We start from the raw sequence: 17213 nt of genomic DNA on the forward strand, positions 1-17213 counted from the left end.
AAACTACAAGCTAAAAAAAAAAAAAAAAAAAAAAAAGAGAAATAACCCCTGGATTAAGAGACTTAAAAAGCATACCAATCTCAATGTATAGACTTTTCCTGGCTTCTAACTAAACTAAAACCAAACAAGCAAACAAGACTATTTGGGAAATGTGAACACTTACTGAATACTGTATGATAGTTTGAAATTAGTGTTAATTTTATTCAGGTGTAATAACAGTAATATGGTTTTGTTTTTTTGTTGCTTGTTTTTTAAGATAAACTCCAGCCGGGCGCAGTGGCTCATGCCTGTAATCCCAGCACTTTGGGAGGCTGAGGCAGGCAGATCATGAGGTCAGGAGTTTGAGCCAGGCCAACATAGCAAAACCCCCTCTCTACTAAAAATACAAATATTAGCTGGACATGGTGGTGGGCGCCCGTAATCCTAGCTACTCGTGAGGCTGAAGCAGGAGAATCACTTGAACCCAGGAGGCAAAGGTTGCAGTGAGCTGAGATCGCACCACTGCACTCCAGTCCAGGTGACAATGGGAGACTCCATCTCAAAAGAAAACAAACAAACAAAAAAACCCACAAAACATAAACTCCACTGTTTTTTTTTTTGAGATGGAGTTTTGCTCTTGTTGCCCAGGCTGGAGTGCAATAGCACAACGTAGGCTCACCGCAACCTCTGCCTCCTGGGTTCAAGAAGTTCTCCTGCCTCAGCCTCCTGAGTAGCTGGGATTACAGGCATGCACCACCATGCCCAGCTAATTTTGCATTTTTAGTAGAGACGGGGTTTCTCCACATTGGTCAGGCTGGTCTCGAACTCCCGAACTCAGGTGATCTGCCTGCCTTGGCCTCCCAAAGTGCTGGGATTATAGGTGTGAGCCACCGCGCCTGGCCTTTTTTTGTGTGTGTGAGACGGAGTCTCGCTCTATTGCCCAGGCTGGAGTGCACTGGTGCGATCTCAGCTCATGGCAACCTCCACCTTCTGGGTTCAAGTGATTCTCCTGCCTCAGCCTCTTGAGTAGCTGAGATTACAGGCATGCGTCACCATGTCCAGCTAATTTTTGTATTTTTAGTAGAGATGGGGGTTTCACCATGTTGGCCAGGCTGGTCTTGAACTCCTGACTTCAGATGATCTGCCCGCCTTGGCCTCCCAGCGTGTTGGGATTACAAGCATGCACCATCATGCCCGGCTAATTTCTGCATTTTTAATAGAGATGGGGGGTTTCACCATGTTAGCCAGGCTGGTCTCGGACTCCTGACCTCAGGTTGTCTGCCTGCCTCAGCCTCTCAAAGTGCTGGGATTACAGGCGTAAGTCACCACACCTGGCCCACCTTTTAGAGATACCAACTATTTATAAGTGATGTCTGAGATTTGGTACACAATAATCAGAGTTGGGAGAGAGAGGGGAGGGGGTGACACTGATGAAACGAGATGATCCATGAGTTGCTGGCACTTGGCCCCAGGGGCATCATAGGCTCTATCACAGGGATTACCCCAGTCCATGGGGCACTGGGCATAAGGATCGTCCATGGACTGTTTTTGCGTGTTGCATCTCCATAAGAAAAAATGTGTCAAGATATAAAACACATCCCCAAGTGGTAAGCCCACTTGGGATCGTGTCACAGTGCTAGGCAACTAGAAGGGGTGCTTCCGTCTAACAGTTCACAAGACATTAATGTTCAACCAGCTGTAAAGGCTAATGGTCAAGTTCTGCCTTCAGGCACTGAGGCTTCAATGCGGCACGAATAGACATTTCCCAGGAGCATTGAATAGAGAATCTGAACCTGTGTATGTAAGCTCCGGCCTTTAGAAAAGCCATGCGTTTATATGATTAAGGGAAAAGTTCAGCTCTCACCCAGTCCTTTAAGGTTCACATTATGGGGGAAAGGAAAGTGACGCTAAACTCCGTCCATTAAGCACAATTCAGAGAGTCTGCGTGGGTTTTCTCCATTGATTGAGATTTCTTCCTTTAGTAGGTCAAGTCAGACCTTCCATGCTAATGGAAGAAATGTATTCTTTTCTTCTTAGTTTTATGTTTATCAGAATCTAAAAAGCTGTGGTTAAAGGCCTGTTTTTTAGAGTCTATCATTTGTAAATGCTGTTCATTATCTTTTTAAAAAAATTAAAATTTTTTTTCTTTTTCACAGCCACTGGCTATAGAAAAATGCTATTCATTTTCAAGTGATTCATGTTCAAGATGTTCTAAAAACTGAAATGACAGATAAACCAATTATAAAATTATGAAAAAATATCATTTTCTATCTTCAGTATTTGCTGATTTAAAAAACTAGTTTTGGACAATGGCTTCAGGAATCTAAAAGCTTAGTAAAATTCCCGATAATAAAAATTTTGGATTTCCTTAAGCTCACCATCACTAGAACAACCAAAAAAAAAAACCCCAAAAACAATTAGTAGAAATAAGCCTAAATAGGAAAGTTCCAAATAAGCCCCAAAGTAATTGCAAGCAGCACAAATGACAATATCCGTATGCTTAAAATAACAGCTGGAGTAGGGGGTTAACAAAATTTCAGTTTCTAGGAGAGCACTCCACAGTAGTTCCATTTGCCCAGCAACAAAACAAAACAAAACAAAATACCACCTGGGGAAAAATAATTTTGAAGGCCACTGCAGCTGGAGAGAGCAATAAGTGATTATTTCTGTAACTGGAGTGATGAAAGTCATGCTACAAGTTCAGCTTCAGAACGCAGCTCCAGGGATGGCTGGGAGTGCGTCAGGAATCAGAAGGTCAACATGGCAGCCGGTGAGTGATGCAATCGACTTCATGGGCTTCAGACAAACCTTCAGGCTCACAAAATCCGCAGTCACAGAGACCCGTAGTTAAGAAAAATATTAAAATTCACCTGAATTAATTCTTTCCTTCCTTCGTTCATTCAATCAACCGCATTTAATAAAATATGATAAACATAATCAGACATTTATTTAAAAAGTGTCCATACAGCTAGCTTATAGTCCTCTCAAAGAGACAGCCAATAAAATAGCTTCCCTCTCAGAGATTATTTTAGAAAGGGAAAACCTTACCCTCCCATTGAAACCCCTGCTGCCAGGAAAGGAGCAGAAGGGTACAGGCTGTGTACATGGTGAATAACTGTCTCCAAGTCTTCAGTGTTAGCACAACAATAAGTCCTTGGCGTCTGGAAGTAGTGACAAGTAAAGCACAAAAATTACAATGTGAGGTTAATGATTTGTAAAATGCAGAAATGTAAACAGGAGCAAGGAGTCATACATATGAGAAAATAACCTTTGTTTGCACATACTGTAGTATTAATAATTTATCATTTTCCTGTCTTGCAGCGCACATACATGCCATTTAAAGTCAGCACAGTTAGAGTTGGCACTAACAAAAAGACCATGAACATGCAAGGAAGGCTTGATGCAGATGGGGCAAGACCAATACAAATACCTTCAATTAAACAAAGTACCATACTCAAACGTGTCTCCAACTTAACCAGAGCAGTTTAGGAAAAAAAGCAGAGAACTGTGCTTTCTATTAAACAAAAAACAACCTGTACCCTCAAAGACAAAATAACCTTTTTTTTTGTTTGTTTTGGAAAGACAGAGTCTTGCACTGTCACTCAGGCTAGATTGCAGTGGCATGATCACAGCTCACTGCAGCCTCGACCTCCCAGGCTCAAGCAATCCTCTGACCTTAAACTCCCAAGTAGCTGGAACCACAGGTATAGGCCACCACAAACAGATTTTTAAAAAAATGTTTTGTAGAGACAGGGGGGTCTTGCTATGTTGTCCAGGTTGGTCTTGAACTCCTGGGTTACAGTGATTCACCTGCTTTGGCCCCCCAACGTGTTGGGATTATAGGTGTGAGCCTGTGCCTGGCCCAAAGTAACTTTAAAAATATTATTATTTTTGAGATGGAGTTTTGCTCTGTTGCCCAGGCTGGAGTGCAGTGATGTGATCTCGGCTCACTGCAACCTCTGCCTCCCAGGTTCAAATGATTTTCCTGCCTCACTCCCCTGAGTAGCTGGGATTACAGACACCCACCACCATGCCCGGCTAATTTTTGCATTTTTAGTAGAGATGGGGTTTCACCATGTGGACCAGGCTGATCTTGAACCCCTGACCTCAAGTGATCCGCCTGCCTCAGCCTCACAAAGTGCTGGGATTACAGGTATGAGCCACCACGTCTGGCCAAAAAAAATTTTTTTGAGACATGGTCCTGCTCTGTTTCTAGGCTGGAGTGCAATGGTATGATCACAGCTCACTGTAGCCTCGACTTCCTTGTTCAAGTGCTCCTCCTGCTTCAGCCTCCTGAGTAGCTGGGACTATAGGCATGCACCACCATGCCTGGCAAATTTTTTATTTTTTTGTAGAGACAGGATCTTGCTATGCTGCCCAGGCTGGTCTCAAATTCCTGAGTTTAAGTAATCCTCCCATCTTGGCCTCCCAAGTAAAATCATTATTTATTAAAAAACAAACAAGCAGCCAGGCGCAGTGGCTCACACCTGTAATCCCAGCACTTTGGGAGGCCAAGGCAGGTGGATCATGAGCTCAGGAGATGGAGATCCTGGCTAAAACAGCGAAACCCTGTCTCTACTAAAAATACAAAAAATTAGCCAGGTGTGGTGGTGGGCGCTGTAGTCCCAGCTACTCAGGAGGCTGAGGCAGGAGAATGGCGTGAACCCGGGAGGTGGAGCTTGCAGTGAGCTGAGATCACGCCACTGCACTCCAGTCTGGGTGACAGAGTGAGACTCCATCTCAAAAAAAAAAAAAAGCAAAAGGGGCTTTTCAATAGTGTACCCCAAATCCCCAAAATTTTAAATTGTAGCTCATTTCTAACTGGGGAACTGTTTTCTCCACCTTGAGTGCTGTCTGCCAATGAAAGAGTATGGTTTCCTAGTGCTGTCTTCACTCTAGATAAAGCAATCTACGGTCTAATTTATTAACTGAATATTTTCTTTTATTTTTAAATTTATTTTTATTTTATTTATTTTTTTTGAGATGGATTCTTGCTCTGTCGCCCAGGCTGGGGTGCAGTGGCACAATCTCAGCTCACTAGTACCCCTCTGCCTCCTGGGTTCAAGCAATTCTCCTGCCTTAGCTTCCTGAGTAGCTGGGACTGCAGGTGTGCACCAGCTAATCTTTATTTTATTTTATTTTTGAGACACAGTCTCGCTCTGTTGCCAGGATGGAGTGCTGTGGCGCGATCTTGGCTCACTGCAACCTCTGCCTCGCGGGTTCAAGCGATTCTCCTGCCTCAGTCTCCTGAGTAGCTGGGACTACAGGTACGTACCACCACGCCTGGCTAATTTTTGTATTTTTAGTAGAGATGGGGTTTCACCATGTTGGCCAGGCTGGTCTCTAACTCCTGACCTCATGATCTGCCCGCCTTGGCCTCCCAAAGTGCTAGGATTACAGGTGTGAGCCACCGTGCCCGGCCTATTTTTTTTGAATTTTTAGTAGAGACAGGATTTCACCATGTTGGCCAGGCTGGTCTGGGACTCCTGACCTCAAATGATCTACCCGCCCTGGTTTCCCACAGTGCTGGGATTACAGGCGTGAGCCACTGTGCCTGGCCAAACATTTTCTTTTCTAATAGTATGTATATACAGATAGCCTCAGCTGTACTACACTGCAGTAGACACTTAAAATATTAAAATATGTAAAGTTGACCATGCTTCAATATATAACACATTTAAACACATGGTTTTCATGTGAATGTCATCAATAAGGGCTCTGTTTATAGCAGAAAAGCATCACGGATGCTTCACTTGAGATCTGGGAGGAGGGGGCAATCCTCTCGGTAGAATATATGTGAGTGTGTGTGTCAGAATTAAGTATATGTGCGAAAAAATAACCAGAAATTTAATAACAAGGAGAGGAATCTGGTAACATTACTCTAAGAAAACATGGAAACTAGTTATCTACACCACCCAATTTCACTATGTCAATTAACCATGATCATGCTAGGAAAGTTTTGTATCACCCACTGTTCAATCACTAATGAGTAGCCTGAGAAAATTACATTTTTTTTTTTTTTTGAGACAAGTCTCGCTCTGTCGCCCAGGCTGGAGTGCAGTGGTGCGATCTCGGCTGACTGCAAGCTCTGCCTCCTGGGTTCACACCATTCTCCTGCCTCAGCCTCCCATGTAGCTGGGATTACAGGCGCCCACCACCACACCCTTTTTTTTTTTTTTTTTTTTTTTTTTTGAGACGGAGTTTCCCTGCTGTTGCCCAGGCTGGAGTGCAATGGCGAGATCTCGGCTCACCGCAACCTCCGCCTCCCAGGTTCAAACAATTCTCCTGCCTCAGCCTCCCGAGTAGCTGAGATTACAGGCCTGCACCACTATGCCTGGCTAATTTTGTATTTTTAGTAGAGATGGGGTTTCTCCATGTTGAGGCTGGTCTTGAACTCCTGACCTCAAGTGATCCGCCCGCCTCAGCCTCCCAAAGTGCTGGGATTACAGGCGTGAATCACCGCGCCCAGCCGAAAATTATAATTTTTAACAATTGCCTCAATTAAACTCATCCCTAAAACACAGCCTATTCCCTACTGGCATCTTTTGGAATCTGCAAACATGACTCTCTGAAAGAAAAACGTTAACCTGACAATATTTCCGATGGCTAACATTTATTGGATCATTAAATTTGTGTCCACAAAACCCTGAGGAAGATCCCAGTGTATCTATTTTATAAATGAGGAAACTGAATTTAGAGAGGTTAAATAACTCCTGTAACATCTTAACAGCTACTAACTGACTATGCTCCGACACTTAAAAAAAATACTTTTTGATTGAATGCACGTCAATCACAAGGGGCGGGGGGCACAAATTCAACGTAAAATCTAAATAGAAAATATCTTCTAGTGGCCAGGGGTGGTGGCTCACTCCTGGAATTCCAACACTTTGGGAGGCTGAGGCTGGTGGATCACCTGAGGTCAAGAGTTCGAGACCAGCCTGACCAACATGGTGAAACCCCATCTCTACTAAAAATACAAAAATTAGCCGGGTGTGGTGGCAGGCACGTGTAGTCCCAGCTACTCAGGAGGCTGAGGCAGGAGAATGGCACGAACCCAGGAGGCAGAGCTTGCAGTGAGCCGAGATCACACCACTGCACTCCACCCTGGGCAACAAAGCAAGAATCTATCTCAAAAAAAAAAAAAAAAAAAAGAAAGAAAAAGAAAAGAAAATATCTTCTACTATGCTCATTCATAGTGACTTCAGAATTTGTCATGAGAACCTGGGTGATGAAATCATCCTTACTCAGCATTTTTATTGCAGGTGAGTCTATTCACACTGCACAGCTTTAAAATTTCTGAATTATTTATGAATAGTCCCCAATATATATTCTTATTATATAGGCTTTAACTATATGTGTATATGTAAGAATGCATACATATAGACACATACAGAGTTAGGGCATAAGAAAAATGCCCTAAGGAAAATTGCTAGGATCACAGAATCTTTGTGTCAAAAGGACCATAGATGTCACTTGGTTCCTTATTTACACATAAGGAAATTAAGGCCTGGCAAGGTTGAGTAATTTGCCAAAGGTCACAAAGTAGCAGAGCCTGCGTTATATGTTTGTAATAAGAACCTAATTCTTGTAAAGCACCAGGGTTCCATGAGGTATACAGTGAATAAATCATTATCTGGTACCCTCAGATATAGGGGCTGATTTTTCCCTAAACGTTTTTCTCCAAATAGATTGCATTAAGATCAACACTGATAATATTGCCAATGAAGGAGTGTGGATTTCTGGCACTGCCTTCATTCTAGATAAAGCACTATACAATCTGACATATTATTTTCTTTTATAATAGTATAGCCGTATAGCCCCAGCTGTGCTACACTGCAATAGACACTTAAAATGTTAAAATATGTAAAGCTAGGCAGGTGTAGTGGCATATGCCTGTAGTCCCAGGTACTCGGGAGGCTGAGGTGGGCCAATCGCTTGAGCCCAGCAGTTGAGAGCACCCTGGGCAACACAGCAAGACCCCTGTCTCTAAATTAAAAAACAACAACAACAAAAAAAACCCACACCCAAAATTAGCCAGGTGTGGTGGAGGATCACCTGAGACTGGGAGGTAGAGGCTGCAGTGAGCTGTGATCATGACACTGCACTCCAGCCTTGGTGACAGACTGAGACTCTGTCTCAAAATGAGTAAATAAACTATATAAAGCTCCTTATGCCTCAATACATAATGATCCAATGGTAAAGATCGACAGTTTCCAGAACTCTGAGATTCAGCAAATCTAGAACCTTTCCATCATAGTCGGCCTCCTGCTAGCTCCTCCCCTGGCGGCTCTGCTAGCTTTCCATTTCCTACCCAGTCTCTCACTTTTCCCCCAACCCCAAATGCAGGTAGGTATTCATTCCCAAAAGTTTTGTCTTAGGCTTGTATCTGCTTATTTTCTGGTCAATACCCAGTTCTTGAAGCTCTTATCTACTCCCCTATCTTCATCAATCACCTCTCCCCAGTGACTGAACCTAAACCTCCACTGTCACTTTCATCCTCAGCTCCAGATTCAAATTTCCAAGTTCCAGCAGGCAGCTGCCCTGTAATGTTCTACCAGTACTTCAGACTCAACATGCACGAAGATTAACCCATTTTCCTCTTCATGAAAACTCCCAACGCTTCTCCTAACTTCCCATTTCCCTATAAATGGCACTTATATTTTCCTAGTTAAAATTGTGGGCGACATGGCATTCTCCCTCTCCCTTAACTGCACAGCTGATAAACTGCCCAATCCTGTAGCTTCTTCCTCCTCAGTGAAAGGAAACTCCTCTCGAGTACAGGGCTGGTAAGTTGGATTCTCTCAAAAGGGGCCCTGAAGCAAGGATGTGAGTGCCAGCAGTTCATATGGAAGGCGACACCAGGAAGCACCCGCGGGAGAGTGGCAGAGTGAGTCAGGAAAGGCAGGAAGTCAATAAGAAAATGATACCAGGCAGTTTATGGCTGTGGGCAACTGGGACTCAAGTCCTTGGGATAGTCTGGGAGACTGTTGAACAAGGCTTACAATGATCCCCACTGAGTGGCAAATGAGCTATTTATCCACCAATTCCCTTTTAGCCACTGGTTGAAGCCTATCCTGGAGGATGTTAACGCCCCGGTACTTCTGGTCTGCCCTAAGTGCAGTTCCAGCAGGCTCCGATGGCTAGAGAAGGCCCCCAGTCACAGAGATGCAGGAAGCCCTCAAAAAGGCATACGTGGGAATGGTAAGTGCCAAGGGGGTAAGGATGTAGCACCAGCTGTCTTTGCTACAAGGCCTTTTTGCCTCTCACCTGGACTGCCACAAAACTGGTTAACTCCCAGTTTTTCTTGATAATCATTCATAATCCTACATCATTAATCTACACTATCAGATTAATCTTCCTAATGAACACTTGCAGCTGTAATCATGACAGTCTTTCTGCTTAAAATTTCTCATTAGCTTTTCACTGCCTACTGAATTAAGCCTCTGCCAAGCATTCAAGACTTTCCACAATATGACGCCGAGCAATCCTTCCAGCTCTGTATTTTATTATTTCTCCAAATGTACAGATGCAGACCAATGGGATACTGTTCTCTTGCCTGCTAGGCCCCTTAATATCCTTGCCACCTGTGACCTTCACCTGCCTGGTGTCCTTCTCTGTCAACCTTGCCTGTTGAAATTGTGCATGGAATAAATGTCACAAGAAGGCTGGGCATGGTAGCTCATACCTGTAATCCCAGCACTTTGGGAGGCTGAGGAGGGTGGATCACTTGAGGTCAGGAGTTCGAGACCAGTCTGAACAACATGGTGAAACCCCCTATCTACCAAAAAATACAAGTTAGCCAGGTGTGGTGGCACATGCCTGTCATCCCAACTACTTGGGAGGTTGAGGTGGGAGGATTGCTTGAACTCGGGAAGCAGAGGTTGCAGTGAGCCAAGATCGTGCCACTGTACTCCAGCCTGGGTGACAGAGTTAGACCCTGTCTCAAAAAAATAAATAAATGTCACAACAGGTGAGACTTGGCCCCTGTCCTTTAGGACCTCACAGCTGTTCTCAATCCTGCTAATTGCCCTGTCCAGCCTGCTCCATGCCCTATCCCATGTGAGTCTCTATCACTGTCTTTTCACCTCTAGCTTTGTTAATAAACCCTTGTCAAACTGAACTGACACACAGGACTAAAAGGGAGGAGACCTGATTAACTAATAAGTTCTGATATACACAACTATGCAGTTCTATCGCACAGCCGCTTGCTGCTTGATGGGTTCCAACAGGAAACATCATCTGTCTTCTTTCTTCACAGGAGCTGAAGTTAGAAATAAGCACAGCCTACAGAACTTGGGACCCATTAAAGAATCACCCAGAATACACAGCAAAGACATTTATGGGGCAGTATATTGAATTGATAGGCTTTGCAGAAACTGTCTCCAGGCCTGAAGATACAACTAGAAGCCTTTTAGACAAAAAACTCTGGTTAAATTCTGTTACTCGGGCTAGTAATGCAACTGGCAGCTATCCTTCTGGTAGATGAAATCACATCTAATCAGAAGAGAGACGAAGGAAGACCTGGGAGGATTCTGCTGGGTGGTGAAACTCCTTCTGGGTGGGATGAGGATGGGAAAAATGTAAAAAATCCAAAAGATATATCACTTCCAGCAGATATTTGGACATAAACATTCAATAAGTTAGAATAATTTGATGATAATTACAAGCCAAGGTTGTTTAAATTATCCAACTGTGACTATGATCAGAGAGCAATGACAGTAATTTATTTATTATCATTATTATTTTTTATAGAAATGAGGTCTCACTATTTTGCTCAGGCTGGTCTCAAACTCCTGGGCTCAAGCAATCCTCCTGCCTCAGCCTCCCAAAGTATTGGGATTACAGGCGTGAGCCACCATGCCTGGCCAACAACAGTAATTTAATGGCTGAAAGAGGTTAGTTTTAAAAGATGCATTGAAGAGAATGAAATATCATTAATTACTATTATTCATATATAATAGAAAAACAATAAAGCATATATTTTATATTTACCTATGGACTACATCTAATTTATCCTTCTTAATCAACTAAGGGCTTCTTAAAAGCTGACAAGCTGATTTCTCCTGACAGTTTTCTTGTACCAGATTTAGAAAATCTGTTTCAGAATTTAAAATTCTTTTCATTAAAAAAACAATTTTTGACCTAGACTCAAATTTTAAAATTCCCTCTGTTAATCAGGTAGCCAGACTCTCCCTAGCTATTCTTGGAGGAGATTAATTTGCTACTCTGCAGTGGAAGCCATAACTCAGAATCCTTCTCTTTCAGGGCTGGGGTTACCGCACTTCCAATGCTGAACTAAGCTATCGAGAATTTTAGTTTTCTGTCCAGCAAAGTGAAATCTGAAAAAGACACACGAATGCCTGGTAAAAAAATCATTTACGTTTCATATTAACTGTAATGTTTGATGATCATCAGGATCTTAGAATATTTCATTGAGTATTCCTCTCTCAAGTACTTAATGATTTGCACTCAAATATTGGATAAGATGCATTTAAATGAAGTCTGTGATTCCTGTGTGGATGTGGGCCTCCCCAAGAGGAACAATGCTTTTAAAATAGGACTAATTATGCTCCTTAATTGATCTCTACAGTGTGATGTGGTTTTCATTCCACCCATCCCCTGTCCAGTACCTAACAAATTGCCTAAGTTGTCCCTAGGAAAATTGATTTTATTTTTGGAATATGAGTTAATTAAATAATGAGTCAGACAGAAGAAAAATTACTTGCACATAAATAAAACCAGCAGTTTAATGAACCATCATTTCACCCAGTCATTGATAGACATATTAAATGACCATTGTCTAAATTTGCCTGGGAGTTTGCTAATTTTAAAAATCAACTACCCATAAAACAAAGGGCCCCAGGAAATATCCTGGCCAGCTTTGAGGCTGGCCTCTGTGTCACATTCCTGCCAGCGCTCCAGATGGCAGCCGTGCATGCTCATGATGTCAGGTTATACAAGCTACACCAATAAATGAGCAGTTTTGTTAGTGGCTTAGAGCAGGTCAGCCAGGAATTATTTTCAGTCCAGGCTCCTAAGAGGCAAATCTCGTGACTCACCTGGGTCATGGAGGCTATCACATGCAGGACTACTCATCACCTCCCAGGGATTTTCAGCCCTGTTTGTACATTAGACTCACCAAGAAGTGTTTATTTAAAATAAATTACAGATACCTGGACTCCACCCTTGACCAAATGAATCAGAATCTCTGGGGGATGGGGTTCAGGGATCAATATTTTTTGAGATGGAGTTTCGCTCTTGTTGCCCAGGCTGGAGTGCAGTGGCACGATCTCAGGTCACCGCAACCTCCGCCTCCCAGGTTCAAGCGATTCTCCTGCCTCAGCCTCCGAGTAGCTGGGATTACAGACATGCACCACCACACGCTTGGCTAATTTTGTATTTTTAGTAGGGACGGGGTTTCTCCATGTTGGTCAGGCTGGTCTGGAACTTCCGACCTCAGGTGATCCACCCGCCTTGGCCTCCTAAAGTGCTGGGATTGCAGGCGTGAGCCACCGCGCCCAGCTGTTTTTTGTTTTGTTTTGTTTTTTGTTTTTTTGAGACAGCATCTTGCTCTGTCACCCAGGCTGGAGTGCAGTGGCAGTCTCGGCTCACTGCAACCTCCGCCTCCTGGGTTCAAGCAATTCTCCTTCTTCAGCCTCCTGAGTAGCTGGGATTAGAGGCACCTGCCACCATGCCTGGCTAATTTTTGTAGTTTTAGTAGAGAAGGGGTTTCACCATGTTGGCCAAGCTGGTCTCAAACTCCTGGCCTCATGCAATCCACCCGCCTCGGCCTCTCAAGTGCTGGGATTATAAGTGTGAGCCATCACACCTGGCCAGGGATCAGTATTTTTCAATGCTTCCCAGGGGACTCTAATGGGTGGCCAGAGTTGAGAACCTCTGCAACAAGAGAATAAGTAGGGTGAGAGCTAAGCCAAGGAGGATGCTGCAGTGGTAAGAATGGTAAAACCTTTCTTGAGTGACTTGGGAGAAGGGAAATCCAGTTCTATATGGGTCTGAACTCTTGGATTCCTTGAAGTGTATGGGGAAGTACTCCCAAACATCTCATACCTTACAGGATCACCTGACACATATTAAGCATGATACCTAGCTATTAAATTATTATTTCTAAAACTCTTCCATTATTCAACAAAACATTCTTTCTTTTATTTTGAACTTTTTTTTTTTTTTTTGAGCTAGGTTCTTGCTCTGTTGCCCAGGCTGCAGTGCAGTGGCATGATCATGGCTCGCTGCAGCCTCAACCTCCTGGGCTCAAGCGATCCTCCTGCCTCAACCTCCTGAGTAGCTGGGACTACAGGCACGTGCCACCATGCCCATATCCAGCTAATTTTTAAATTTTTTGTAGAGACAAGGTCTCATTATGTTGCCCAGGCCTGTCTCCAACTCCTGGGCTCAAGTGATCCTCCTGGCTTGGCCTCCCAAAGTGCTGGGATTACAGGTGTGAGCCACCACACCTGGTCACAATCTTCTACGTTTAAAATTTTTGTTATTATTGGACTGCACCTATCAATGTTGGGAGAAAATTCTCAAGGATTAAATGTGTTCACACCTACACCTGGCTGAGACCAGCCTTCCTGGGTTGTTATATAGAGGAAGGTAAGGGGAGCAGGAACAGGTTATTTTTGAAGCATTTAGGAAAGGGCCGACTTGGGTGCAACAATATGTCCAGTAGGGAGGTACTGCATGTGAGAAAGGCACTGCCTGAAGGTAGAAGTTTGAAACTGAATTGTGCCTTGGCTGGCCCTGACCTCTATACCCCTCCTCCCTCTGGCTATCAGGGAGGTCCTTTAATCCTTTCTAAATGCCTTCTTCAGAAAATGGCCCACAGTGGGGTGGGGTGGAGGAACTGGAGGGATGGGGTGGGGGAAGAACTCTAAGTCCCTCCTACACTACTAGCTTCCATGGAAAAGCTAGTAGAAAACAAAAACAGATTTCTCTAAACCTGAGTCCTTAACCCCAAAGAATCTGAGGTTGGAGGGACGATCCTCTCTCTGAAAACCCTCCTTCCATCTATCCCCAGATTTTCAGGCTGACTTGACTGGAAGCCAGTACTGAAAGGTCAAGACACCAGGCTGCACAGCCTGAGTTCCTGCCGTGAGACCACTCATCAGCTTTATGACTTCTGATTGTCACCCCACTTCTCCAGAGGTGTCCTCATCTGTGGAATGAGGTGGGTTTTTTTTTTTTTTTTTTTTTTTTGAGACTGAGTCTCGCTCTGTTGCCCAGGCTGGAGTGCAGTGGCATGATCTCGGCTCACTGCAACCTCTGCCTCCTGGGTTCAAGCGATTCTCCTGCCTCAGCCCCCCGAGCAGCTGGGACTACAGGCGCCTGTTGCCACGCCCAGCTAATTTTTGTGTTTTTAGTAGAGACAGGGTTTCACTGTGTTAGCCAGAATGGTCTTGATCTCCTGACCTCGTGATCCACCCACCTTGGCCTCCCAAAGTGCTGGCGTTACAGGTATGAGTCACCGCACCCAGCCTGAGGTGGTTTTGTTTTGTTTTGTCTTTGAGGATTTGTGGACCTCTGAAGTAGAGCCATTCAAAATGCCAGTTCAGGATAAGCTGCTGGCATCAGAATGTAAATCAGCAAGCTGCTTCTCTCATTAAGGAAATATTGCGATGAGGGAAAAAAAGTCAGCTTATCTAAAAAGTGTACAGAACTGAAATTGGTTTATGTGCTTTTAAAGTATATTAACCATTATTTAAAAAAAAATAATTTACAGGCCGTGGACCTGGTAGCTCATGCCTGTAATCCCAGCACTTTGGGAGGCCAAGGTGGGCAGATCACTTCAGCCAAATTTCAGTTACACAGGAGGCATAAGTTCAAGGGATCTATTGTACATCATGGTGACTATCATTAATGGCAATGTATTATATACTTGAAAGTCTTCCCATGGTGGAGGGAGAAAGCTCTGATGTCTCTTCCTCTTCTTCTACAGGCACTAATTCCATCATAGGGACCCTGCCTTCATGATCTCGCCTAAGCCTAACTACCTCCAAAGGCCGTGCCTCCTAATACCATCACCTTGATGGGTTAAGGCTTCAACATATGAATGCTGGGGCAGGGAACACAAACATTGGGTCTACAACAATATTTTATAGCCATCATGATGTGTAGAAAGTGCTGACCTGGGAGTCAAAACCAGCTCTGAACTCATCCACCAAACTTAGGTAAATCATTTACTCATTTAAATGTTCTCAGGTAATGTATATGTTGATTAGCTTGATTTAGCCATTTCACAATGTATACATATTTCAAAACATCATGTTGTATACAATAAATACATAAAATTTTTGTCCATTTTTAAAACTAACTTTTTTTTAAGGCAGAGTCTTGCTCTGTAGCCCAGGCTACACACAGTGGTGTGATCTTGGCTCACTGCAACCTCTGCCTCCTGGGTTCAAGTGATTCTCCTGTCTCAGCCTCCCAAGTAACTGGGATTACAGGCATGCGCCACCACACCCAGCTAATTTTTGTATTTTCAGTAGAGACAGGGTTTCACCGTGTTGGCCAGGCTGGTCTCGAACTCCTGGCCTCAAGTGATCCACCCGCCTTGGCCTCCCAAAGTGCTGGGATTACCCGCATAAGCCACCGCATCCGGCCTTAAGTTGGCTGACATTCTATCTCAGCTCCTTATCTTGTCTGGGACTAGAGTCAGGTACCCTGAGGAAAAGAGTTGGTCCACAGGATACATTTTGGGCAGTGCTGCTTTAAATTATTTTCCAGCTTCTGCTTGACTTTCTTGGCCCTCCCTTACCTGCTGAGCCAGCCCTAACTTGAACTAGAAAGCACCTAAAGGAGGATTTTCTTTTTAAAGCTTTATGAGATGTAATTTGCATACCATAATTCATGTAGAAGTCAATGGTTTTTAATATATTCAGTGTTGTGCCATCATAATTTAAGAATATTTTTATCACACCAAAAAGAAACCTCCATTAGCAATCATCGTCCACCTCAAGCCTTAGGTGACCATTAATCTACTTTCTGTGTCTATAGATTTGCCTATTTTGAATATTTCATATAAATGGACTCATACAATGTGTGGCCTGTTGAGATGAGCTTCTTCACTTAGCATAATGCTTTCAAAGTGCCCATGCATTCAAGACTTCATTCCCTTTTTTTTTTGAGACAGAGTCTCGCTCTGTTGCCCAGGCTGGCGTGCAGTGGCACAATCTTGGCTCACTGCAAGCTCCGCCTCCTGGGTTCACGCCATTCTCCTGCCTCAACCTCCCAAGTAGCTGGGACTACAGGTGCCTGCCACCACGCCTGGCAAATTTTTTTTTTTTTTTTTGTATTTTTAGTAGAGATAGGGTTTCACCGTGTTAGCCAGGATGGTCTCGATCTCCTGATCTCGTGACCCGCCCGCCTGGGCACTCCCAAAGTGCTGGAATTACAGGCGTGAGCCACTATGCCCAGCCGACTTCATTCCTTTTTAATGTGGAATAGTATTCCAGGATATGGAGCTATCACATTTTGCTTATCCATTCATCTGTTGATGAATATCTGGGTTGTTTCTACCTTTTGGCTATTATGAATAATGTTGCTGTAAATATTTATGTACAGGTTTTTTTACTTTTTTGTTTTTGGTTATTTATTTATTTATTTATTTATTTTTGAGACGGAGTCTTGCTCTGTCGCCAGGCTGGAGTGCAGTGGCGTGATCTCGGCTCACTGCAACCTCCACCTCCCGGGTTCAAGCGATTCCCCTGCCTCAGCCTCCTGAGTAGCTGGGACTACAGGCACGCACCACCACGCCTGGCTAATTTTTTTGTATTTTAGTAGAGACAGGGTTTCACCATGTTAGCCAGCATGTGATTCACCCGCCTCAGCCTCCCAAAGTGCTGGGATTACAGGTATGAGCCACCGTGCCCAACCTATTTTTATTTTTTAGAGACAGGGTCTCTGTTGCCCAAGCTGGAGTGCAATGGCACAAACACAGCTCACTGCAGCCTCAAACTCCTGGGGCTCAAGCAATCCTCCTGTACTCAGCCTCCCAAGTAGCTGGTATAACAGGCACATGCCACCACACTTGGCTATTTTTTGTTTTTGTAGAGACAAGATCTTACTATGTTGCCTAGACTGGTCCTGAACTCCTGGACTCAAGTGATCCTCCTGCCTCTGCCTCCCAAAGTGCTGGGATTACAGGTATGAGCTACTGTGCCTGGCTCATGTATAAGTTATTGTGAGAACATATATTTTCATTTCAGGAATTTCTG

The 17213-nt window shown here is 43.9% G+C and overlaps 1 protein-coding gene across 8 annotated transcripts in view; it reads right to left on the minus strand.

Annotated features, from left to right (window-relative positions):
* ABHD3 (abhydrolase domain containing 3, phospholipase) overlaps positions 1-17213 on the minus strand; it is a 53874-nt gene that overhangs the window by 10190 nt on the left and 26471 nt on the right. For 3 of the 8 annotated variants that reach the window (NM_138340.5, XM_011525847.4, XM_047437314.1), the window contains one exon: positions 3028-3140. The exons of 3 other annotated variants lie outside the window; for them this stretch is intronic. In NM_138340.5, coding sequence (NP_612213.2) covers positions 3028-3140 — 113 coding nt within the window. Of the gene's footprint in view, positions 1-2587; positions 3141-17213 lie in introns of those variants that run through there. 2 more of the 8 variants (XM_017025574.2, NM_001308257.2) reach the window with 2 other exon arrangements.

This window comes from Homo sapiens, chromosome 18 (genome assembly GCF_000001405.40).
Source record: "Homo sapiens chromosome 18, GRCh38.p14 Primary Assembly".
Classification (NCBI taxonomy): Eukaryota; Metazoa; Chordata; class Mammalia; order Primates; family Hominidae; genus Homo; species Homo sapiens.